The sequence below is a fragment of the Homo sapiens genome, chromosome X (genome assembly GCF_000001405.40).
Source record: "Homo sapiens chromosome X, GRCh38.p14 Primary Assembly".
In the NCBI taxonomy this organism is placed as follows: Eukaryota; Metazoa; Chordata; class Mammalia; order Primates; family Hominidae; genus Homo; species Homo sapiens.
In genome coordinates, this window is record NC_000023.11 from 90554913 (window position 1) to 90580787 (window position 25875).

Genomic DNA, 25875 nt, shown 5'->3' on the forward strand with positions numbered 1-25875 from the left:
TCAAATTTCTCTTGCATTCTCTCACAAAAATTTCATTTTTACAAAATAAATTATTGTGCATACTGATTTTTTTCCACTAAACCACATATTTAAAACATTTAAATTAAAAGTAATTATGGAGAAATTTTCTTCAGAGTTTACAGTGAAAAAATACCTTATTTCCTATATTATAAATCTAAAATTGTATGGATCACCTTAAGCCCCTAAATAAAGATAAACCTTTCAACTTCATAAAAATCTATTTCTAACCACTAACTGGGCACACAATATTGTTTGCCTTTGTTTTAATTTATTTTAATTTTAATTTCAGATTCAGAGAGTACATAGGCGAATTTGTTAACAAGATGTACAAGATTTGTTCCATGATGCTAAAGTAAGGGCTTCTATTGATTCAGTCATCCAAAGACATAGCATAGTACATAATAGGAAGTTCTTCAGCCCATGGCCCCCTTCCTTCCTACCTCCCTTTGAAGCCCTCAGTGTCTATTGTTCCCATCTTTTTTTTCTTTTCCATTTTTATTTTAGGTTCAAGAGGTATATGTGCAGATTTCTTTCACAGGTAAATTGAATGTCACGGGGATTTGGTGTACCGATAATGTCATCATTCAGGTAATACACATAGTATCTGATAGGTTTTTGATTATCGCTTTCTTCCTAACCTCGAGCGTCAAGTAGGACCTTGCATCCAGTGTTCCCTTTTTTCGTGTCCATGTGTACTCAATGATTAAATCCCACTTATAAGTAAAAACATATGGTATTTGGTTTTCTGTTCCTGTATTAATTTGCTTAGGATAATGGCCTACAATTTTATTGAACTTTCACATTCCTCATTAGCTGTTGACAATGTTGGGTAATATGATTCATCCAGCTTTGTTCATTTGGCTTTTTAGGATCTTTTTTGATTCCATATGATTTTTTGAATAGCTTTTTTTTTAATTCTGTGAAAAATTTTATTGGTAGTTTGATAGGTATAGCGTTGAATCTCTCAATTCTTTGGGAAGTATGGTTATTTAACAATATTAATTATTCCTATCCATGAGCATGAAATTGTGTCATCTCTGAATTCTTTCAGCAGTGTTTTCTGATTCTGATTAAAGAGAACTTTCACATTCCTCATTAGCTGTTGACAGTGTTGAATATTTGTCCCCATCCTAATCTCATGTTGAATTTTAATCACCAGCGTTGGAGGTGGGGACTGGTGGAAGATGATTAGATAAGGGCAATGAAATCTCATGAGTTGCTGTTTTTCTCACAATATTGAGTGAGTTCTCATGAGATGTGGTTATTTAAAAGTATGTCAGTACTCCCCCCACCACTCCTGCTTTTGCCATGTGATATGCCTGGTCATGCTTCATCTTCTGGAATGAGTAAAATTTCCTGAGGGCTCCCCAGAAGCTGTGCAGATGTTGTCACCATGCTTCCTGTACAACCTTCAGAATCATAAGCTAATTAAACTTCTTCTCTTTGTAAATTACCCAGCCTCAGGTATTTCTTTATAGCAATAAAGAACAGCCTAATACAGAAAATTGGTACCAAGGGATGAGACATTGTTACACATAAACCTTAAAAGGTGGAAGCAGCTTTGGAACTGGGCAATAGGTAGAAGTTGAGAGAGTTCAGTGGGCTCAGAAGAAGATAGGAAGATTAAGGACAGTTTGGAACTCCTTAGAGACTGGTTAAATGATTGTACCCAAAATGCTTATAGTGAAATGAACAGTGAAGTCTAGATTGCTAAGGTCTCAGATAAAAAATGAGATACTTATGAGAAATTGAAGCAAAGGTCATATGTTATGCCTCAGAAAACAACTTGGCTGCATTGTGTTTATACCCTGGGAATCTGTGAAAGTTTGAATTTGAGAGTGATGATTTAGGGTATATGGTAGAAGACATTTCTAAGCAGCAAAACATTCAAGATGTGGCCTGGCTACTGCTAACAGCTTATGCTGAGATGTAGGACCAAAAAAAAAATGTTTTAAAGTCAGAGCTTATATTGAAAAGGAAAGCAGAGCATGAAAGTTTAGGAAATTTGTAGGTTTGTCTTGTGGCAGAGAAATAAAAAGCATTTTCAGGGGAATAATTCAAGCCAGCCGTGGAGCAACAACTTACTAGAGAGACTGGCATAAATAAAAAAGAATCAGGGGAAAGACAATGGGAAAAAGATCTTGAAAGTATTTCAGAGATCTAGGAAGTAGCCCTTCCAAACACAGGCTCTGAGGCCTATGAGGACTGAGTTGTTTTGTGGGGCAAGCCCAGCTCTTCACTGCCCTCCACAGCCTCGGAACATTGCTCCTTGTATTGTGGTAACTTTGTCTCCAAATTCACCTCAAAGGGCTCCAGATAGAGCTTGGGCTACTGCTTCAGAGGGTAAAAGCCATAATCCATAACAGCTTCCATGTAGTTAAGCCTGCAAGTATGCAGAGTGCAAGAGTAAAGGAGGCTTGGTACCCACTGCCTAGATTTCAGGGGATGTATGAGAAAAGCTGAGTGCCCTGGCAGAAGCTTGCTACAGGGACAGAGCCCTCACAGAGAAGTTCTACTAGGGTAGTTCCAAGGAGAAATGTGGGTTTGGAGCCCCACACAGAGCCCCCAGCAGGGCACAGCCTAGTGGAGCTGTGAGAAGGAGGCCAGTATCTTTCAGCTTCCATAATGGTGAATCTACTGGCAGTTTTCTCCCTGCATCTGGAAAATCTGCTTGTACTCAACAACCCATGAGCCTCCATGGAGCTGAACCCTGCAAAGCCAGAGTTGCACAGCTGTCCAAGCCTTTGGGAGCCCACTTTTTGCACCATTGTGCTCTAGATATGTGTCATGTAGTAAAATGAGATTTTTTGGAGCTTTAAGATTTAAGGACTGCCCTGCTGGGTTTTGAACTGGCATGAGTCCTGTAACCCCCTTCTTTTGGATGTTTTCTCTATTTTGGAACAATATTGTTTACCCAATGACTATACTTCCATTGTAATTTGGAACTAAACCACTTGTTTGTGATTTTACAGGCTTATAGGTGGAAGAAACTTGCCTAATCTCCATTAAGTTTTTAGACTTGGGCTTGAGACTTTTAAGATAATGCTGCAATGAGTTAAGAATTTGGGGGAATATTGAGGAGGTGTATTTATATTTTTCAATGTGAGAAGGACATGAACTTCGAAAGGAGCAGGTGCATATTAATATAGTTTGAATATTCATCTCCACATAAATCTCATGTTGAATTGTAATTCCCAGTGTTGGAGCTATCAATGAGCCTAGTTGGAGGCTATTGGATCATGAGAGTGAATCACTCTTGGCTTGGTGCTTTCCTCACTATAATGAATGAGTTCTCATAAAATCTGGCTGTTTGAAGTTATGTGTCACCTCCCCATTCCTTTTGCTCCTGATTTTTTCATGCAACATGCCTGCTCCCGCTTTACCTTCTGCCATTAGTAAAAGCTCTCTGAGGCATTCTCAGAATATGAGCAGATGCCAGCATCATGATTCCTGTATACCCTGCAGAACTGAGAGCCTATTAAACTTATTTTCTTTATAAATTACCCAGCCTCAGGTATTTCTTTATAGCAATGCATGAACAGCCCAATACAGTAGTATTCTTGATATTTTATTTTTCTGATCATTGTGAATGTGATTGCATTCTTGATTTGGCACTTAGCTTGGATGTTATTGATGTATAGAAATACTACTGATTTTTATACATTAATTTTGTATCCTGGAACTTGCTGAAGTACTTTATCAGATCTATCAGCTTTTGGGCAAAGTTTGTGGGGTTTTCTAGGCATTAAATCATATCATCTGAAAACAGAGATAGATTGACTTTCTTTCTTCCTATTTGGATGCCTTTTATTTCTTTCTCCTCTTGCCTGACTGTTCTGGCTAGGACTTCCAATACTATATTGAATAGGAGTGGCAAGAGTCGGCATCTTTGTCTCATTTCAGTTCTCAAGGGGAATGCTTCCAGATTTTGCCCATTCAGTATGATGTTACCTGTGGGTTTGTCACAGGTGGCTCTTGGTATTTTGAAGTATACTCCTTTGATGCCTAGTTTATTAAGGGTTTTTAACATATAAGAATGCTTCATCTCAATACATGCAAAAGCCTTTTTTGCATGTATTGAGATAATCATGTAGTTTTGGTTTTTAATATTTTTTATGCAATAAATCACATTTATTGATTTGGGTATTTTGAACCAATCTTGCATCCCAGGGATAAAGCCTACTTGATCATGGTGGATTCACCTTTTCATGTGCTGCTGCATTCAGTTTGCTAGTATTTTGGTGAAGATGTTTGCATCTATGTTCATCAAGGATATGGACCTTAAGTTCTTTTTGTTGTTTTTTTTTTTTGTCTCTGCCAAGTTTTGGTATCTGAGTGATGATGGCCTCATAGAAGGAGTTAGGGAGGCATTCCTCTAACACACTTTTTAGAAGTGTTTCAGTAGGAATGGTACCAGCTTTTCTTTGTATGTCTTGTGTAATTTGTCTGTGAATCCTTCTTGTGCAGGCTTTTTCTGATTGGTAGGGTTCTTATTACTGATTCTATTTTGGAACACATTGTTAGTTTTGTTCAGGTGTCAATTTCTTACTGGATCAATCTTGTGAGACTGTGTATTTCTAAGGATTTATTTACTCCTTGTAGGTTTTCTAATTTGTGTGCAGAGATGTATTCATAATAATCTCTGAGAGTGTTTCTGTATTTCTGTGAGGTCAGTGGTTATGTCTCCTTTGTCATTCCCGATTGTGTTTAATTATATCTTCTTTGTCTTTTTATTAGTCTAGCTAGCGGTCTATCAATCTTATTTGAAAAAAAACAAACCTCTGGTTTCATGATCTTTTGCATGGTTTTTCTCCTCTCAATTTCCTTCATTTCAACTGTGATTTTGTTTATTTCTTGTCTTCTACCTTTAAGGTTGGTTTGGTCTTACTTCTCTAGTTCTCTAGGTGTAATATTAGGTTGTTAATTTGAGATCTTTCTGACTTTTTGATGTGGTTATTTAGGTCTATAAGCTCTCCTCTTTAAACAGCTTTAGCTGTGTCCCAGAGATTTTGATATGTTGTATCTTTGTTTTCATTAGTTTCAAAAAATTTCTTGATTTCTGCCTTAATTTCATTATTTACCCAGATGTCATGCAGGAGCAGATTGTTTAATTTCTATGTAATTGTATGGTTTGGAATGATCTCAGTATTGATTTCTATTTTTATTGTGTCGTGGTTTAAGAGTGTGATTGTTATAATTTTGTTTTTTTAAATTGGCTGAGAATTGTTTTATGGCAGACTTCATGGTCAATTTTAGAGTATGGGCTATGAGCAAATGAAAAGAATGTACACTCTGTTGGTTTCATGTGTAGAGTTTTGTAGATATCTGTTAGGTTGTTTTGGCCAAGTGTCGAGTTCAGTTCCCAGATGTCTTTGTGGGATTAGAGTTCTTTAGATATCTCTTAGCTTCTTTTGGTCAAGTGTTAAGTACAGCTCCCAAATTTTTTTTTTTAGTTTTCTCCCTCAATTATCTGTCTAATACTGCCAGTACAGTGTTGAAGTTTTTCATTATTATTATGTGGTTATCCAAGTCTCTTTGTAGGCCTCTAAGAACTTGTTTTATGAATCTGGGTGCTCCTGTGTTGGGTGCAAATATATATTTGGGGATAGGTGAGTCTTGCTGAATTGAACACTTTACCATTATGTAACGCCCTTCTGTGCCTTTTCTGATCATTGTTAAAGTCTATTTTGTCTGAAATTAGATTACCAACCTCTGCTTTTTTTGTTGTTTTCCATTTGCTTGGTAGATTTTTCTCCATCCCTTTAATTTGAGCTCATGGGTGTCTTTGCATGTGAGACGGATCTCTTGAAGATACCATACAATTGGGTCTTGCTTCTTTTTCGAACTTTCCCCTCTGTGTTTTCAATTGGGGGATTTAGCCAGTTTATATTTAAGGTTAACATTGATATGTGAGGATTTGTTCCTATCATCGTGCTGTTAGCTGATTATTATGCAGACTGATTGTGTAGTTGCCTTATAGTGTTGATGGTCTGTGTACTTAAGTGTATTTTTGTGGTGGCTAATAATGGTCTCTCATTTCCATATTTAACACTCCCGTAGTGACTTATTGTAAGGCAGGTCTGATGGCAACACATTTCGTTAGCATTTGCTTGTCTGAAAAGGATCTTTTTTCTCCTTTGCATACGAAGCTTAGTTTGGCTGCATATAAAATTCTTGGTTGGAACTTATTTTCTTAAGAATGCTGAATATAGGTCCTCAATCTCTACTGGCTTGTAGGGTTTCTGCTGAGAGATTCACTGTTAGCCTGATGGGGCACCCTTTGTTGATGATCCGCCTCTTCTCTCTAGCTGCCTTCAATATATTTTCTTTCATGTCGACCTTGGAGAATCTGATGTCTATATGTCTTGAGTATGGTCAGCTTGTACAGTATCTTGTATGGGTTCTCTGCATTTTTAAAATTTGAATCTTGGCTTCTCTAATGAGGCTGGAAAAATTTTGGTGGATGATATCCTGAAACATGTTTTTTTGTTGTTGCTCACTTTTTCTCTCTTTTAGGTATACACTTTTTCTCTCTTTGAGTTATATATTTGGTCTCTTTATATAATCCTATGCTTTTTGCTTTTTGAAGGTTTTGTTCATTTTTTACATTTTTTTTTTCTTTACTTTTGTCTGGGTAAATTCAGAGAACTAGTCTTCAAGCTCTGAGATTATATCCACAGCTTGGTCTATTCTGCTATCAATATTTGTGATTGTATTATGAAATGTTTGTGGTGAGTTTTTCAGCCTTATCAGATCATTTCGGTTCTTTCTCTTTCAGCTCCTGTACTATTTTGTTGTATTCCTTAGATTCCTTGAATTGGGTTTCAACTTTCTACTAAATCCCAGTGATCTTCATTCTGACCCATATTATGAATTCTATGTTTGTCATTTTAGCCATTTCAGCCTGGTTGAGAACCATTGCTAGGGGAACTACTGCTGTCATTTGTAGGTAAATTTAGATTTTTGAGTTGCTGGAGTTCTTGCATTGGTTCTTATGTGTGTGGGTGTATGATCCTTTAATCTTTGAAGTTGCTGGCTTTTGCATGGGGTTTTTTGCTTTTATCTTCTTTGGTGCCCTTGGGGATTTGATTGTGGTATAAGGTATATTCAGTTGACTAGCTTTTATCCTAGAAGATTTTAGGGGTTTAAGTCTCAGCTCAGCACTCCTGGGCTATATGCTCTAACTTTGGCAGGTTGGTACTGGAAAGGTATTTAAAGGTACTGTTGGCATTTTTTACTTGGGAGAATACATATATATTGGTGTCACTCAATGTAATAGGACACATAGAAGAATAAAGTAATATATAATGGGAGGTGACATCTCATTTAAATTTATTGGTGGTGCTTGTAGAATAAATGAGTAAAAACAAATGATGCAAAGAATGCATAAAAAATATGTAGGCAATAATGCCTAGAGTTTTTAGCTGCCTAAGAATATTTCATGTCTTCACCTTATATTTATAGGAAAAACAAAAAGCAGATTTTCTTTGTACACCATATTTATAATTTTATCAATATTTCTTGAACTGAATTTCAATGTTGGCTAGAAATTTATGTAAACTATTCCGTATATATCATACAGAGAAAGACTCTTTAGGCTATTGGCTCTTGATATGTTAGTATTATCTTAATTCAAATTTGTTTAAAATTTCTACAATAGGAAATATGAACATTTCAGACAAATACTCAAAGAGAAATATTAGAAATTGGAAATAAGAGATTTCAGCCTAATGTGCTAATAAATACAGGACTTGGCAGTAGTCGCTCTGTCCTGACAAGTAAAATGCTGAAAAAACTGAAAATCAGAGACTCTTCATCGATCCATCAAATAACAGAAGTCAAAAAAAAAAACCACACTATTTTTCAAATTGGAAACACATTCTAGTGCATATGAAGAATCACAACTTATTCAAATAAAATTAAAAGCAAACACTTCGTGGATATTAGTAATGGGGTAGAAAACCCTACCCCCAAATTATACTGTAATTGACAAATTGATGGAAGCTAAGCGTGGACAAGACTGGGAGCTAAAAGGAAAAACACCTTCAAGGAGGCCTGGTCTTAGGAGGCCCTCAAACTTTTATGCATTTTACCTCTTGGATACATCCCACATTTCCACAGTAAAGATAATGGGTGTACTTCTGGCAGGGTGAGGAAAAAATTAGATATTTTTAAATACACCTAGAGCATTCTCTTCCTTTTAAGAAGGCCTGCTCGGTGGCAATCTCCTCCATGTTTTCTCTCTCTCCTACTGTGATGTAAGATGTGCCTTGCTTTTCCGTTGCCTCCTGCCATGATTGTAAGATTGCTGAGGTCTCTCCAACCATGTGGAACTGTGAGTTAATTAAACCTCTTTTGTTTATAAATTACCCAGTCTCAGGTAGTGTCTTTATAGCAGCGTGAGAATGGACTAATATAGAGAATTGGTAGTAGGAGTTGGGTACTGTTATAAAGATGACCTGAAAATGTGGAAGCGACTTTAGAACTGGGTAACAGGCAGAGTTTGGAGCAGTTTTGAGGGCTCAGAAAAAGAGAGAAATATGTGGAAAATTTTGGAACTTCCTAGAGACTTGTTGAATGGTTTTGGCCACAATGCTGATAGTGATATGGACAATAAAGTCCAGGCTGAGGTGGCCTCAGATAGAGATGAGTAATTTGTTGGGAACTGGAGCAAAGGTCACTCTTGCTATGCTATGCTTTAGCAAAGAGATTGGTAGCATTTTGCCCCTTCCCTAGAGATCCATTCAACTTTGAACTCGAGAGAGATAATTTAGGGTATCTGGCAGAAGAAATTTTTAAGCAGTAAAACATTCAAGAGGTTACCTGGCTTATTCTGAAAGCATTCACTTATATGCATTCACAAAGAGATGGTTTGAAATTGGAACTTATGTTTAAAAAGGAAGCAGAGCATAAAGGTTTGGAAAATTTGCAGGCTGACCATTTGGTAGAAAAGAATAACCCATGTTCCTGGGAGGAATTCAAGCTGGCTGCAGAAATTTGCATAAGTAACGAGGAGTCGAATGTTAACCACCAAGACAATGGGGCAAAGGTCTCTAGGGCATTTCGGAGATCTTCATGGCAGCTCTTCCCATCACAGGCCTGGAGGCTGAGGAGGGAAAAGTGGTTTTGTGGCCCAGGCATTTGGCCCTGCTACTCTGTGCAGCCCCAGAAGTTGGTGCCCTACATCCAAGCCACTCCAGCTTCACCCATGCATAAAAGGGACAAACATGCAGCCCAGGCCATCACTTCAGAGGATGAAAGCCCGAAGCCTTGGCAACTTCCACATGGTGTTGGGCCTGTAGGTGCACTGAAGCCAAGAGCTGAGGTTTGGGAACCTCAACCTAGGTTTGAGAGGATGTATGGAAAGGCCTGGATGTCCAGACAGAAGTCTGCTGCAGGGGCATAACCTTCATGGAGCACCTCTATTATGGCAATGCAGAGGGGAAATGTGGGGTTGGAGCTTCCACACAGAGTCCCCACTGGGGCACCACTTAGTGGAGCTGTGAGAAGAGAGCCACCATCCTCTAGACCTCAGGATGGTAGTTCCACTGACAGCTTGCACAATGCACCTGGAAAAGACACAGGCACTCAATGCCAGCCTATGAAAGTAGCTGCAGGGGATGTACCATGCAGAGCCACAAGGGCAGAGCTACCCAAGTCATTGGGAGCCAACCCCTTGCATCAGCATTACCTGGGTATAAGACATGGAGTTAAAATAGATTATTTTGGAGCTTTAAGATTTAATAGCTGCTTGCTGGGTTTCAGACTTGCATGGGGCCTGTGACACCTTTGGTCAATTTGAAAGGGGAATATTTATGCAATTACTGAACCCCCATTGTACCTTGGAAGGAACTAACTCACTTTTTATTTTACAGGCTCATAGGCGAAAGGGACTTGCCTTGTCTTCGATGAAACTTTGGACTTGGACTTTTGAGTTAATGCTGGAATGAGTTAAGACTTTGGGGGACTGTTGAGAAGGCATAATTGGTTTTTCAATGTGAAAAGGACATGAGATTTAGGAGGGGCCAGAGTAGCATAACATGGTTTGGTTCTGTGTCCCCACCCAAATTTCATCTCGAATCCCCACTTGTCCAGGCAGGGACCTGGTTGCAGGTGATTGGATGATGTAGGAGGTTTCTCCCATGCTGTTCTTTTGACAGTGAGAGAGTTCTCAGGAGATCTGATGGTTTAAAAGTAGCAGTGCCTCCTCTGTGTTCTCTCTTTTTTTTCCACCACGTATGATGTGCCTTGCTTCCCCTTTGCCTTTCACAATAATTTTAAGTTTCCTAAGGCCTCCCCAGCCATGCAGAACTGTAAGTAAATTAAACATCTTTTGTTTATAAATTACCCAGTCTCAGGTAGTAGCTTTATAGCAGTGTGAAATTAGACTGAGACAGTAATTTAAACAACAGCCAAGAAAGCTAGAGTCCAGATATGTTTAGTTTCCCTATGGAAACTATGGCCGTATGGAAACCCCCCACTGAGGACCCCCACCAAATGGATCCACTGACATGTAATGCTCAGATAGGGGGGCATTGAAGACTGGATTGTGACCATCATTCTCTGTAATATATTCTTTTTTGAGGGGTTTGGAAGAACTCACACTTCTGAGACAGTTAAGATTTTTTTCTGCTGACCACAAATTATTAAACAAAGCTTTGCTTCCTTAACCAATTGCAAATCCAGAAATCATTAAATCTACCTACAACCCATAAGGTTCTACTTTAAGCTATCTCAACATTTTTAGGCCAAAAACAATGTGTAACCTCTATCTATTGATTTAGTATTTTGCATGTAGCTTCTGCTTTTGTAAAATTTACCCCTGCCTTTTAAAATCTTGTCCTGCAAGACATCTGAGAGGTCCAGATTGGAGCAATAGCTTCTTGTCCCTCCTTGCTTGAAACCCTGCAAAAAAATGCCACCTTTTCTATCACAGCAAAAACCTCATTGTGGATATGTGGTTTTACTGCACTGGGAAAATTTGTTAGTGGCAGCGAATCTGTATGATTCTGCAGCAACTTCAATTCTTGCCTCCTCAGAAGAAAAAATTCAAATGAGGGGCATAAGGCAGAAGAAGAGACTGAGGCAAGTTTTAGAGCAGGAGTGAAAATTTGTGAAAATGCTTTAGAGCAGGAATGAAAGGAAGTAATGTACACTTGGAAGAGGGCCAAGTGGGCAACCTGAAAGACAGGTTCATGGTTTGACCTTTTGACTTGGGGTTTTATATACCGGCATACATTCATGGTCTCACATCCTTTCTCCCCTGATTCCTCCCTTGTGGTGGGCTGTTGACAAGCACAGCAGCTTACCAGTACTTGGAATTTGATCATGCACAGTGTGTTTACTGAAGTTGTAAGCATGCTCACTTGAGATGTTCTTCCCTTACCAGACAAATACTCCTAGAAGGTCATTTACCATTTAAACCCTGTCACTTTTCCTCTACATGTACATGGTTGAACTCAGCCATCCAACTCCTGAGATCTTATCAGGAAGCAGATGATCACCAGTTTCAGGTTTTTTTCTATCTCTAGGAAGACTGCCTTTCCCTGGTGCTGGCTGTGGCCAATTATTATTTTAGAGAGAGATAGTTAACAATCACCTGACCATCACCTGATGGTCTCCTGATATTCCTGGTCAGATGGAGCCCTCTCCTGCTCTGCTCATGCCTGACCAGCTACCTATTGTAGCATTTTCCCACTCATGATCCTAAGACCCCAATTATTTGGAGAAAATGGACAAAGGTCAGTCTTCTGTAACTCTTCACTGCTGACAAAGAGGCAGTGGATCGCTCTGTGGGTCTTGGCCTGTTGCTAGCTGTCAGGGCAGGAAGGTGGCTCCATGGGTGTTTGAATGTGGTATCCAGCCAGGGTCTAGGGAGACAGGGGCAGGATTTTGCCTCTGTTATGTCTCACTGACGGGCAGTCTAGGGGTCCCCTGTAGAAGAGTGACTCTGAATATTGAAAAGATGATATCCCTCACTGAGGATTATCTGGAGCTTGATAGCCTATCCCTTTTGTTTCTTCTGAGGTACAAACAGTAATCACTAGTTGGCTCACAGGAATAAGCAGAGTTAGTCTAAATTGCAGACAAAAACTCAAAAAGAACTGATGAGACTAGAATCTAATAATAAATGTACCATAGTGCTCGAAACATGATTTTTATCCCTCCAGTTCTCATTTTTATTTAAAAAAAAATTAAAGTAACTATTAGTTTGCAAAATAAAGTTTAGTTTTATGATACTTGGCAAGTTATTGGCATAAAGCACAGAAAGTTTATTTTCTATATAGGCTCCTTTTTAAATTGACTTTGATGGATCTTCATTCCATAATGAATCTCATGCAAGAGTTTTCTTAAAGCCTTAAGCCTAGCCATGAATTGGTGCCATCAAATACCTGTATGATTGGGTAAATTCTTCTCCTCTTTAGGTCCTAAGATAACTTGAAGCTCCTGGGCCCATTAGAAAGTGACATTCTTTACTTACCAAAGGTCAGCAACCCTGTACAGGAACTGTGTAGACAAAGTATGAAGACAGTTTACCCAAGGGGTTTTATTGGCTCTATAAGTAAAATTTGATTCCTTAAGGGAAAGCATGCCATTCCAGTCAAAGCCTTGGTAAAATAACCAGATCCTCCAACTGTGTTCTGTTGTAAAAGAAACCAGATTCTTATTGCATTTATGCAAATAACTATATTGCCATTAGTTAAGAATACTCGCAAATAGCTTTCAAATTTTGAATAAATCCAGTAAGGAGAAATATGCTCCAAAGATTATTTATAGGAGTATATTTTACTGAATTGTTAAAAGATGTAAATAGCTCAAAAGAAAAGTTTTCCTGGCTTTGAAAAACAAAATACCAGCAACATTTTAAGCAAAAAGTCATGAAATAATTAATTTAGTTTTCTATTAGGTCAGGCCATGTGTACAGTTAACTTTTGTTCTGCTTGATATTCATAAACATTTCAGCTCTCCATGAGAGTCCTAAAAGTCTTTCCCTAATTCTAATGTCACAGTCTCCAAAGTCATCAGAATGCTGCATTCAAGAACACCTCTTAGATTTTTATAGCTGGTTATAAAACCACCTTCTAAAGAGGACCAAAAGAAAACAATAATTTCCTTGGATGACAAGACATCTTAGGGCAGCCTCTATTAAAGCCACAATTGACTAGGAATTTTGGTTACTTCTTTGGCATATCATAACAATTTTACCTAACAATTATAATGATTAATAACATACAGTAATTAATATCAGAATTATAGAACAAATTGGAATAAATGCTCATAACACATTTATAGAAATACAGCCCAAAGAAAGCCAAATATTACCTTCGCACTGGTGTATTGTTGATGTCAAACTTAGTTCTTAAAACCTTATAGACAAATCTATTCAATTTTAATCAGTCCGACTCTATGGTAAGATTCTCATAAACCTTTTACAACACTTTACAATTTTATTTGTTAAAGAGCATCACAATGCTCTAAGAAAACCCTGTTGTGGTTTTATTCCAATATTTAATTTATAGAAAAACTGAATAATACTCCTTTATCTTTACCCAATAATTTCACACACAAATTTCTTTTTTACAAGATTAATTTTTCACAAACCTTCCATGACTTGTTCAAACTTTCAGGTTTTTTCCATCTAATGAAAAACAAAACTTGAATTCTTTAATCTAGGCAAAAATATACACATTACCTTGGCTTGTTATAATCTTTTACAAAAAACACATTTCACTTTCCTTGCACACCTTACATGTAAAACTTTTTCTTTAGTAGTTTTAATTAAATGTTACAATGTTAACTCTTAGCAACTTTTATTTTTGGTGAAAAACCTGGTAAGTAAGTGATTTTAATTATGTACTAGGTGTGGAGCCTAGGAAACCAAATGAAAGTGTGAATAAGGTCTGATTCTTTGCAGCATAACCAGGGGAGCATGGCTAACTTCACATGTCCTCAGGCCTTACATAGATTATGATGGCTCCAAAATAGGTGAGTTGGACAATTTTCAAAAGTCAAAGAATAAGTTTATGACCTTACAGCATTTAGCAAACCTAGTATCTGACCTGCATAATTTATACAATATGTCTAAATTTTTGAATATATTTTTATTTTACCATTAATATTTAAACCCGTCTTTAATTCCCAAACATTACTTAAGTCACATGAATGAAAAGGCATTATAGTTTTTATTTTTCTGGCAAAATACTTGATTGAAGCACTTATTATTTTTAAGCCAATTAATCGGAGCTCTTTCATATATAAACATCACACACACAACACATATAAATACACAGAAAGACAGAAAATCCAGTAATGTAAGGTTTTCCATTTGCCAGTTTTTAAGTTTCTTAATTGGATTACTGGCTTCAGGGTGGAGCACTTTGAGATACAATGTCAGGAAAGCATGCAGTTTCTAGGGTCTAATAAGCAGTCATAGCTGGATGCAAAACAGATCCCCAAAAGTTAAGGGTACCATTTTTATACCAGATCCTAGATCCCAAAAAAAGAGAAAAATCGGCCCATTTCCCATGGGATTCTTATCTCTCAGTGAGAGGTGGAATCATTTCCAGACTTTCTAGGTGGCCAAGAGCACGCTTCTCTGATCCAAATGTGTAAAGCACTGAGTATCTCACCATAACTGCCATTAGCCATCCCTAAAAGTATATTTCTTACCCAGTTATTACACACCAAAGCTCTCTCATAATTCAAAGTAATTTCTGATACCCCCAAAAGTTAAAAAAAAAAAATCAGATAACATCATTCAAAGTGGAACAGAGCTTTAGATTTTGAGAGGAATTTTATCTGCTTTTGATTCCTGGAGCTTCATGAGGAAAAAAGGAAGTTTTTCCCAAAATGGGGTCTGTATTGCCTCCTCTCTTTATCCCAAGGAGAAACTGTCTTAGGAATTATCTTAGGTTCTCTTATGTGTGCATCAAGAGTGGCAAGAAGACAAAATGGAGAACAACTATTCAGTCAACTGACAAGAAAAAAAAAACCTTTTTTTTTTTTTTTTTTCAGGAAAACATGATTCAAGAAGAGAAAAAAAATGTAAAGGCCTTTTAAATATATGCATAGCTTGGACTTGGATATCTGCTTTTATTTAAGCTGACTTTTAACCACAGTGCTCTTAAAAAAAATCTTTCTAAATCTCTTATCACCCTACTTTAGCTAGGCCAAACAGCGAATATTCCTGGCTTTTAAACTTTACCAAAATAAACCTCATAGGTGAAACCAATAGGCCTTAACTAAAGTTATGACTTAACCATGAGTGTACAAGGTATTTTCAAAGAGGCAGTTAACAGTTTTTATAATACCTAGAATCTCCGAAGTTAGCTCAGAGGAAATACAATTCAAGAAGGGAACTCACAAGTTGTTCCTGGAGGGGCAGAGAATCAACAAACGGCAAATGTCACACAAATGTCAACCAGAAAGTACTCTTTCCTAAGCCAGGAATTGAACCCTGAACTCATGTCACCATTGGGAAAAGACAAAGCCTTAGCTACCACGCTACAGCATTTGGCAGTTTTTATTGCTCTTCCCAGAAGGAGCCTAGAGCAGTCAGTTTGGAGCTTGCGATGGCTTTTGGCTTGCTCAGGATAATTCTTAGAGCTAACTATGGCATGAACTCCAAAATTTCTGCCATTTGGATACTGAAGATGAAGAAAAAGTACTGCCACCTGGTTACAAAATCAAGCTCTCAAGGACGTAAAACAAGACGAGAGAAAATCTTCATCCACTTTTTTATTTTGTTGTTTTGTTTTGGTATCACAGAACTGCAGCAAATTTTGTAACTGACCAGTTTGCCAGGCTGGCTTGAACAGTGGGCTTACAGGCATCCTAGATTCACATTCTACCCTAAGGTACCCCTCTTTTTGAAAGAATGAAACAGAAAGAAAAATTCATAGCAGAAAGCAAACCAGGTTTGTTGCAGCTTAAGAGTGGCCTCATGAATCCTTTTTCTCACTAACGAAAACTTTGCAGAGGAGACAGTGCTTTTTACCACTCCTACAACTCATTTGCACAGAGAGAGGGTGGCCAGAAATCTGAATGGTGAAAATTTTTTACCCTTTTGCCGGCATTCCAGGTTTCTGGGTTCCCTTTCTCTGAGTGGCCCTCATGATCCTGTTTGCTGAATCATAACTGCAACACAAAGGAAAGTTATCTTTTCCCATTTCATGAAACCACAGGCCAAAAGCCTCTCAATATTGTAAGATGCCATGCAAGTGGCTGCGGAGCGTAACCAAAATAACATTTTCCATTTCAGCAAGAGCAAAATATGCATGACAAAACAGACATCAGCTACTTGGCTTAGCACCCAATATCAAACTGGCAAGACTCAAACTTGCCCCCAGTTGGGCCCTGCCATCTTTAATCCATTGAAAGTACAGTGGAAAGATTCCAACCAGGAGTTTCAACATGTGGTCTCTGGACAACATAGTCGCCCTGCGTAACAGAAGAGAGAAAATAAAAATAAAAAAAGAAGAAGAAAAATAAAAAGAAAGAAAAGCATTGTCTGTGGTGGGGTGGGAAAGGTGAGGAGCTCAGGGAGACCAGAGAAAGACCCAGCCATTGCAGCGACACTGAATCAAAAGTTTGGGTGGCTATAGTCCCATCAGTTCCCAAGTTTCCCCTTTTGGGGAGAACCAAGAAGAAACAAACCCCAAAGCTGTCAGAAGAGAAGAAATAACCAAGATCAGAGCAGAACTGAAGGAGATAGATACACAAAATACCCTTTAAAAACCCATGAGTTCAGGAACTGGTTTTCTGAAAAAATTAATAAAATAGACTGTTAGCTAGACTAATAAGAAGAAAAGAGAGAATAATCAAATAGGCACAATAAAGAATGATAAAGGGGATGTTGCCATTGACCCCACAGAAATACAAACAACCACCAGAGAGTACTATAAACACCTCTATGCAAATAAACTAGAAAATCTAGAATAAATAAATTCCTGGACACATACAGCCTCCCAAGCTTGAACCAGGAAGAAGGTGAATTCCTGAGTAGACCAATAACAATTTCTGAAATTGAGGCAGTAATAAATAGCCTACCAACCAATAAAAGCCCACGACCAGACAAATTTACAGCCAAATTCTATTAGAGGTACAAAAAGGACCTGCTACCATTTCTTCCGAAAATATTCCAAACAATTGAAAAGAAGGGACTTCTGCCTAACTCATTTTATGAGACCATCACCATCCTGATAACAAAACCTGGCAGAGATACAACAAAAAAAGGAAACTTCAGGCCAATATCCCTGATGAACATCAACACAAAAATTCTAAAGAAAATACTGGAAAACTGAATCCAGCAGCACATCAAAAAGCTTATCCACTAGAATCAAGTCAGCTTCATCCACAGGATGCAAGGCTGGTTCAACATACACAGATCAATAAACGTAATTCATCACATAAACAGAACTAAAGACAAAAACCACATGATTATCTGAATAGATGCAGAAAAGGTCCTCGATAAAATTCAACATCCCTTTATGTTAAAAACTCTCAATAAACTAGGTATTGATGGAATACACCTCAAAATAATAAGAGCCATTTATGACAAACCCACAGCCAATATCATACTGAATGGGCAGAAGCTGGAAGCGTTCCCCTTAAAAACCGGCACAAGACAAGGATGCCCTCTCTCACCACTCCTATTCAACGTAGTATTGGAAGTTCTGTCCAGGGCAATCAGGCAAGAGAAAGAAATAAACGGCGTTCAAATAAAAAGAGAGGAATTCAAACTGTCTCTGTTTGCAGATGACATGATCTTTTATCTAGAAAACTCCTTTGTTTTAGCCCAAAAGTTTCTTAAGCTGATAAGCAGGTTCAGCAGTCTCAGGATACAAAATCAATGTGCAAAAATCATAGGCATTCCAATACACCAACAACAGACAAGCAGAGAGCCAAATCATGAATTAACTCCAAATTCACAATTGCTACAAAGAGAATAAAATACCTAGGAATACAGCTAAAAAAGAAAATGAAGGACCTGTTCAAGTAGAACTACAAACCACTGCTCAAGGAAATCAGATTTGACACAAACAAACAGAAAAACTTTGCATGCTCATGGATAGGAAGAATCAATACCATAAAAATGGCCATACTGCCCAAAGCAATTTATAGATTCAATGCTATTCTCATTAAACTACCATTGACATTCTTCACAGAATTAGAAAAAAACTACTTCAAAATTTATATGGAATCAAAACAGAGCCCATGTAGCTGCGACAATCCTAAGCAAAAAGAAAAAAGCTGGAGGTATAACGCTACCTGACTTTAAACTATGCTACAAGGCTACAGTAACCAAAACAGCATGGTACTGGTACAAAAACAGACACATAGACCAATGGGACAGAATAGAGAATAGAAATAAGACCACATCTACAAACATCTGATCTTTCAAAAACATGAAAAATACAAACAATAGGAAAAAGATTCCCTATTTAATTAATAGTGCTGGGAAAACTGGCTATCCAAATGCAGAAAATTGAAACTGGACCCATTCTTTACACCTAATACAAAAATTAACTCAATGTGGATTAAAGACTTAAATGTAAAAACCAAAGCTATGAAAACCCTAGAAGACAACCTAGGCAGTACTATTCAGGATATAGGCATGGACAGAAATTTCATGATGAAAACATCAACAGTAATTGCAACAAAAGCAAAAATTGACAAATGGGATCTAATTAAACTAAAGATCACCTGCACAGCAAAAGAACTATCATCAGAGTGAACAGAGAACCTACAGAATGGAAGAGAAAATGTTTGCAGTCTATCCATCTGACAAAGATCTAATATCCAGAATCTAAAAGGAACTTAAATTTACAAGAAAACATGGGCAAAGAATTTGGGAGGCTAAGGTGGGTGGATCACTTGAAGTCAGGAGTTCAAGACCAACTTGGCCACATGGTGAAAGTGTCTCCACTATTAAAAAAAAAAAAAAAGAAAAAAAAAGCTAATTAGCTGGGTGTGGCAGTGGGTGCCTATAGTCCCAGCTACTCAGGAGGCTGAGGCTAAATAATTGCTTGAGCCTGAGAAATGGAGGTTGTAGTGAGCTGAGATTGCGTCACTACACTCCAGCCTGGGTGGCAGAGTGAGACTTTGTCTCAAAAAAAAAAAAAAAAATGTGGGCAAAGAACATGAAAAAACACTTCTCAAAAGAAGACATTTATGTGGCCATCAAACATATGAAAAATCAACATCACTGATCATTAGATAAATGCAAATCAAAAGTATATTGAGATACCATATCACGCCACTCAGAATGGTGATTATTAAAAGTCAAGAAACAACAGATGCTGGTGAGGCTGTGGATAAACAGGAATGCTTTGATACTGTTGGTGGGAATATACATTTGTTCAATCATTGTGGAAGACAGTGTGGCTATTCTTTGAAGACCTAGAACCAGAAATACCATTTGACCCAGCAATCCCTTTACTGGGTATATACCCAAAGTAATATAAGTTATTCTATTATAAAGATACATGCACATGTATGTTCATTGCAGCACTATTTACAATAGCAAAGACATGGAATCAACCCAAATGCCCATCAATGGTAGACTGAAAAAAAAAAAAAAAACGTAGTATATATACACCATGGAATACTATCCAGCCATAAAAAAGAAAGAGATCATGTCCTTTGCAGGGACATGGATGGAGCTGGAAGCCATTATCCTCAGCAAATCCAAAGCCATTATCCTCACACAGGAACAGAAAACCAAACACCACGTTCTGACTTATAAGTGGAAGCTGAACAATGAGAACACATGGACACAGGAAGGGGAATGACACACACTGGGCCCTTTTGGGACAGGGAGTTGGGGGGAGGGAGAGCATCAGGATAAATAGGTAATGCACACGGGACTTAATACCTAGGTGTTGGGTTGACAGGTGCAGCAAACCACCATGGCACATGTTTACTTATGTAACAAAACTGCACGTCCTGCACATGTATCCCGGAACTTAAAGAATTCACAAATGGCAAAGGAAGAATTTCCTCTCTTCCCAAAGTGGTGCTAACTAAAAAAAAAAAAAGCAAGTAGGTGCGATCCTTAAAGGGCCTGCGTGAGGCCCTATGCAGGCTCACAAACTGCTTCAAAAGCAGTGGCTTTTGAAACCAGTGGCTTTTGAAGCAGTTTGTCCACCTGCACAGGGGAAAACTTGGCCCTGGGGAGTAACAGGAATGAAAATCATATGGTAAGTCATAAGGACCTGACAGAGCCAGAGTTCCGATTAGTGTCTGTCCCAGCAATGTGCCAGCAGAAAGGGGAAGGGTTGGAGTTCATCCGAGCTGGTAGGGTAAAAGCAAATATAAATCTCAGGAGATATCCCCAAGGGAGCCCATGTCTTTGCTGCCTCACAAACCCAGTAAAACAGCTGTGGGCACATGAATAGCAGGGAGTGTATATTTAAGAAGTCACGTGACCTGCAAAGTGAAAGCAAAGAGCAGACTTACCCCCAAGGCAGATGGTCTGGCAGGTGTGCAAGGCCATTTCAGAACACACACAGAGAAAACAGGAGAATAGACATTGTGAATTCTTGGGAAAGAGCCAATTTGAGATGAAAAAGCAGAGGAAACCCAGACATTGCACGGTTTTAGACTTTAGCTCTAGCATTCTCGTGAGCTTCCTGTCCAGGAGGGCCATTAGTGCTTCAGTCCTACTCCATGTGAACCCCAACGTCCTTTCCACTATGATGAGCCATCCATCAGGGTGAGCTGAGAGATCAGCCAGGAGGAGCAGGGTCACTAATGTCTGAAAGGAATTGTTCTGGGTGTTAGTTAGTAAGCAGAAGAGAGAAAGGGAGAAGAAAACCATGTATGGGTGTTGAACACCTCCAGCCAAAGAAGGCGAGGCATAGAGATCTCTTACCATTAGGGCATGGATCCCAGTCAAGCAGTGCCAATGTATGTTAGCGGTGAAAGTTATCCGAGTCACAGCGCACCGAAATATATCAGCAAAGTCAATTCCTGCCGCCTCAGAAGAAAGAATTCAACTGAGGGGCATAAGGTAGAAGAAAAGACCAAGGCAAACTTTAGAGCAGGAGAAAAGTTTATCAAAATGCTTTAGGGCAAAAATGAAAGGAAGTAAAGTACACTTGGAAGAGAGTCAAGCAGGCCACTTAAAAGACAAGTGTGCGGTTTGACCTTTTGACTTGGGTGTTTTTTTTTTTCTTTTCTTTTCTTTCTTTTTTTTTTTTTTTTTTTTTTGACGGAGTCTCACTCTGTCGCCAGGCTGGAGTGCAGTGGCCCGATCTCGGCTCACTGCAACCTCCACCTCCCGGGTTCAAGAGATTCTTCTGCCTCAGCCTCCCGAGTAGCTGGGACTACAGGCGCGTGTCATCACGCCCAGCTAATTTTTGTATTTTTAGTAGAGACGGGGTTTCACCATATTGACCAGTATGTTCTCCATCTCCTGACCTCGTGATCCACCCGCCTCAGTCTCCCAAAGTGCTGGGATTACAGGCGTGAGCCACCACGCCTGGCCTGACTTATATGTTTTATATGTTGGCATACTTCTGCGGTCTTGCGTCCCTTCTCCCTTGATTCTTCTCTTGGGGTTGGGTGTCTGCATGTGCAGTGGCCTGCCAGTACTTGCAAGCTGAGCATGTGCAGTGTGTTTACTGAAGTTATACACATGCTCACTTGAGGCATTCTTCCCTTACCAGCCGAATGCTCCTAGAAAGGTCATTTACCAGTTAAACTCCAACTTTCTGCCTCTCACTTCACATGTTTGAGCTCACTCCCCCAATTCCCGAGATGTTATCAGAAAGCTGCTGATCACCAGTTTCAGTTTTTTTTCTATCTATAGGGAGATTGCCTTCTGCTGGTGCCAGCTGTGATCAATTATTATTTTAGAGAGACGGGTAACAACCACCTGACCCTTACCTGATGGTTGCCTGATGTTCGTGGTGAGGCGGAGCCCTCTCCTGCCCTGCTCATGCCTGACTATCTGACTACTGTAACAAATGGACTCGGGTTCCGTTCTATATTATCTGTAAAATGCTAATAATGCCTTCTTTAAGGAACTGTTGTAATGACTACGTAAAATGATATGTATTTAATGTGTAAAGCTTAATGTATTATTCATTATAATATAAAATGTAAATTTAATAAAGTGCCAGGAACTATTCAATTTTTGATAATTTGAAATAGTATACTTAATGCAATTTCAAAAATAAATATATAAGGCTGGTTTTCTAGTGGCCTATTACATAGAATAAACTACAAACCATATAAAAGATAATATAAATGCATAATTTTTTAAAAGCCTGAGTTAAAGATCTACAGTGACAGAAAAATTACTCAAAATCGTACTTATAAAAAAAAGTAGCTGAAACCATAAACTACTCAGAATCTGTCACATAAAACCACAAATATCAGCCAACTTGAACACGTGGGCATTTTTTAAAAGTGACCTAAATTTAATTCTCACTTAAAAAAAAATTATACACTTCATCAGCTTCTAAAGCTATGTAGCATTGCCAAACAAAAGCCACTTCATAATTTTTTTCAAACTATAGCTGATAAATTCTAAACAACTTTATGAAAATTTCACTGTGTTTTCTTTATATAATCTAGAGGAAAATCACCCTAAGAAAGGCCCTCATACTTGTCTATGTGTTCAAATGGAAACTTTTAAATATGTCATCTATAATTCATTTCTGATTTTTCGTGGAATTCTCAATGATTTTTGGAACTATCATTTTGTGAATATCTACATACAAAATAATATTGGAAGTTGCTTAGAAAACCAAAGGTGATTTTACCTTTGAAAAGTATTTCATGTTACAGAAGAATCTACAGCAAATGAATTCTAAATCAGTTTTTACATGAAATAATATCCAAGAGAAATCATATTTATAATATTTTCCATCTGTATAGATTTGATATTTATATTTAGCAATAAAAAAGATATAAAATGTTCAGTATAAAAAATTAAGGATAATAAAAGTAAGCCCAATTTGATTACTTATTATTTTGTATAATTATTTAAAAATTGACAACAGAATATGGTTGTAATATATAAAATACAATTCAGTAAAAACCAAAAAAAAAGATAGTTCTAGATTTCTAATTTAAACAAAATAATTAAATATTTCATTTCCTACCCTTTTGGGTATTATGTGCAAGATTTTTCTAATATCTCATTTCTTAATCCTTTTTATAAATGCTCTGATCTAGAAAACTAATGAGTTTTTATCTATTCTCAGAGTATCTATCATTCTAAATTTAAAATTGTAAACATTCATCTTAACAAAATTCTGTTGGACTACCATTTCTCATGTTGGTTTACAGAAAATGGAAAATGGTACTCCAAAATATGGCACTGTGGTATGCTAAGTGTTTTGAATTAAAGAAAATTGAAAGGCCTCAATAATAAGCTTCCCAACCACTGTCTCTCTCTTACCTTCACTTGTCCCCTATCTCTGTGTTCCTTTTTCTATTTTTTAAGTAAGAAATCAATTATCCATGTTATTGTTAAAGATGATCTTTTTTCTTTGGTGATAACCAGAAGGGACTGTCTTTAAAATTTTCTTAACTAAGAAAACTTCTTTCCAAAGAAATGTAATAGTTTTAAAATTCCCTCCCTAGAAATATCATCAAACAATGAGAAAGATTAACCACAGAAGGAAGAAAGAGACTAGGATTCATCAGAAAGTCCAGATAGACTTTGCATCTATTCTAATGACAGTTCTGAGATTTTATTTGCATAATAAAACATTTACTCACTGTAAAGCCCCAGCCCTCGCCTTTCCACCATCTCCCTCAGAGCTCAGAAAATCTTTGTAACATGCCATTGCTTTTGGACCTCATTCTTTTCCCCTGAGAATCATTTAATCCCACAACCTCCATCTCCCCTTCCCCTATGAAGACAGGTAAATAAGCATCTTGATCTGTTTGGGTTATTGCATAATCCTACTCTAGTTCCCCTATGTTTATGCCTATTAAATAAATTTTATATACCTTTTTCTCCGATTAATCTGCCTTTAGTCAGTTCATTTTCAGCAAATCTTCAGAGGGTAAAAGGGAAGCTCTCCCTTTTGACCTTACACTAAATAGAGACAATACAGTGATATAAGCAAAGTGAGAAAAGAAATGTAAACCAAAGACAATGGAAAAAACAAACACAAAAACACAAAAGGAAAACTATTTAAAATATTGATTGTTTTAGCTTAAGCCAAGCCACAACAAATAAAACAAAGTGACTATCATTATCATTGTTAATAATATTATCGATGACAATATAAACTAATAAAATGTAGAAAACTAGAAATATGTAAATTTATGAGGAAAGGGTTACATTTTGTGTAAAATTCTAAATGTTAGAGTTTGAATTTGATTAATATTAGCTACTTTCAACACTAATATGGCAAATACAAACAAATTAAAATGTAAAAAAGAGAAAACAACATGTACTCAGTTTGGCAGCACATATATTCAACTTGGAACTAGCCTAGGGACAAACTGCTGCTCAATTCACTTTTACGTTCCTGGAAAATTTCCATTCATTCTCTCTGTTTTGGCTGATTTCTTGGCAAACAGACATGGGCAGTTTTCCTGTCACAACAGTCATAGCCTCATTTTACATCGTTGTCATGTTTGCACACTGTATGTAGGAACGAGAGATGAAAGTAGATTTTGATTAAGATAAATATATTCTACTGTGCAATGAGAATGCCTGGGATTTTCAATTCTGTCTGTTTTGTTAGCCTCTCTGATTGCTTTGGATTTTGGATGTTTTGTTTTGCTAATCATCACGGAGAGTTTTACTTTTGTATGCTGAAACATATTCTGTTCTGCCTTCCAGATGTATTAAGCTGTTCATTTTTACTCAAAAACTGAAACACTTGCTTGATGATTTTCATATACCAAATCCATAGTTAGTGTATATACATCATCTTCACCAATTTTGACCTGGGTATTTTGTAAAATGTGAAGTCAAGAACTATTAAACCTAAGCTTCTCTGTCCTAAACTCTTATCTCTCATCTCAAATGTAACATAAAATTCATAATATATTTATTCTAGTTGGTTTGACTGTAAGAGAAAATATCCTTCAAAGTAATATCTTTATTTTCACAGAAGATTAATCTTCACTTTGATGTCTTAAAAATAAAAATGAAAAATTTACATATAGAAGTATAGGATTACTGTGTGCTATGCTTTTCTCATTGATAAAATTAAAAAGTTGGATAATATGAATTCTAAGATGCTTGAAGGTCTAGGATTTATAAAAAGTATTATTTCTATAAAGATAAATAAGAATCAAAGTACATTTTTAAATTAATTTCTTATAGAATTTTTAATGAAATATTAAAACTACCACTCACAATTCTGTTAAAGTTTTAGGCTAAGAAATTTCTTCTAATATGTGTATTCCATATTAATGTTTAGGATTCTGAGAATTTTTAAATTTATCATTTTATACTTTGTGCATTAGCTTCTCCTCATTACCTTTTTTTCAGCCATGCAAAGATTATAATTCATTTTGTGTCAAAATCTGCATTATATCTCTTAGAATATGATTAGAATTTTTTTTTTTTTTTGAGATGGAGTTTCGCTCTTGTCACCCAGGCTGTAGTGCAGTGGCGCGATTTCAGCTCACTGCAACCTCCACCTCCCAGGTTCAAGCAATTCTCCTGTCTCAGCCTCCCAAGTAGCTGGGATTACAGCCACCACACCCGGCTAATTTTTTGTATTTTTAGCCACGTTGGGCAGGCTGGTCTTGAACTCTTGACCTCAGGTGATCCACCCGCCTTGGCCTCCCAAAGTGCTGAGATTACAGGTGTGAGCCTCCATGCCCTGCCGATATTTCTTTATATTATTTCTTAATTGGTTCATATGTTAA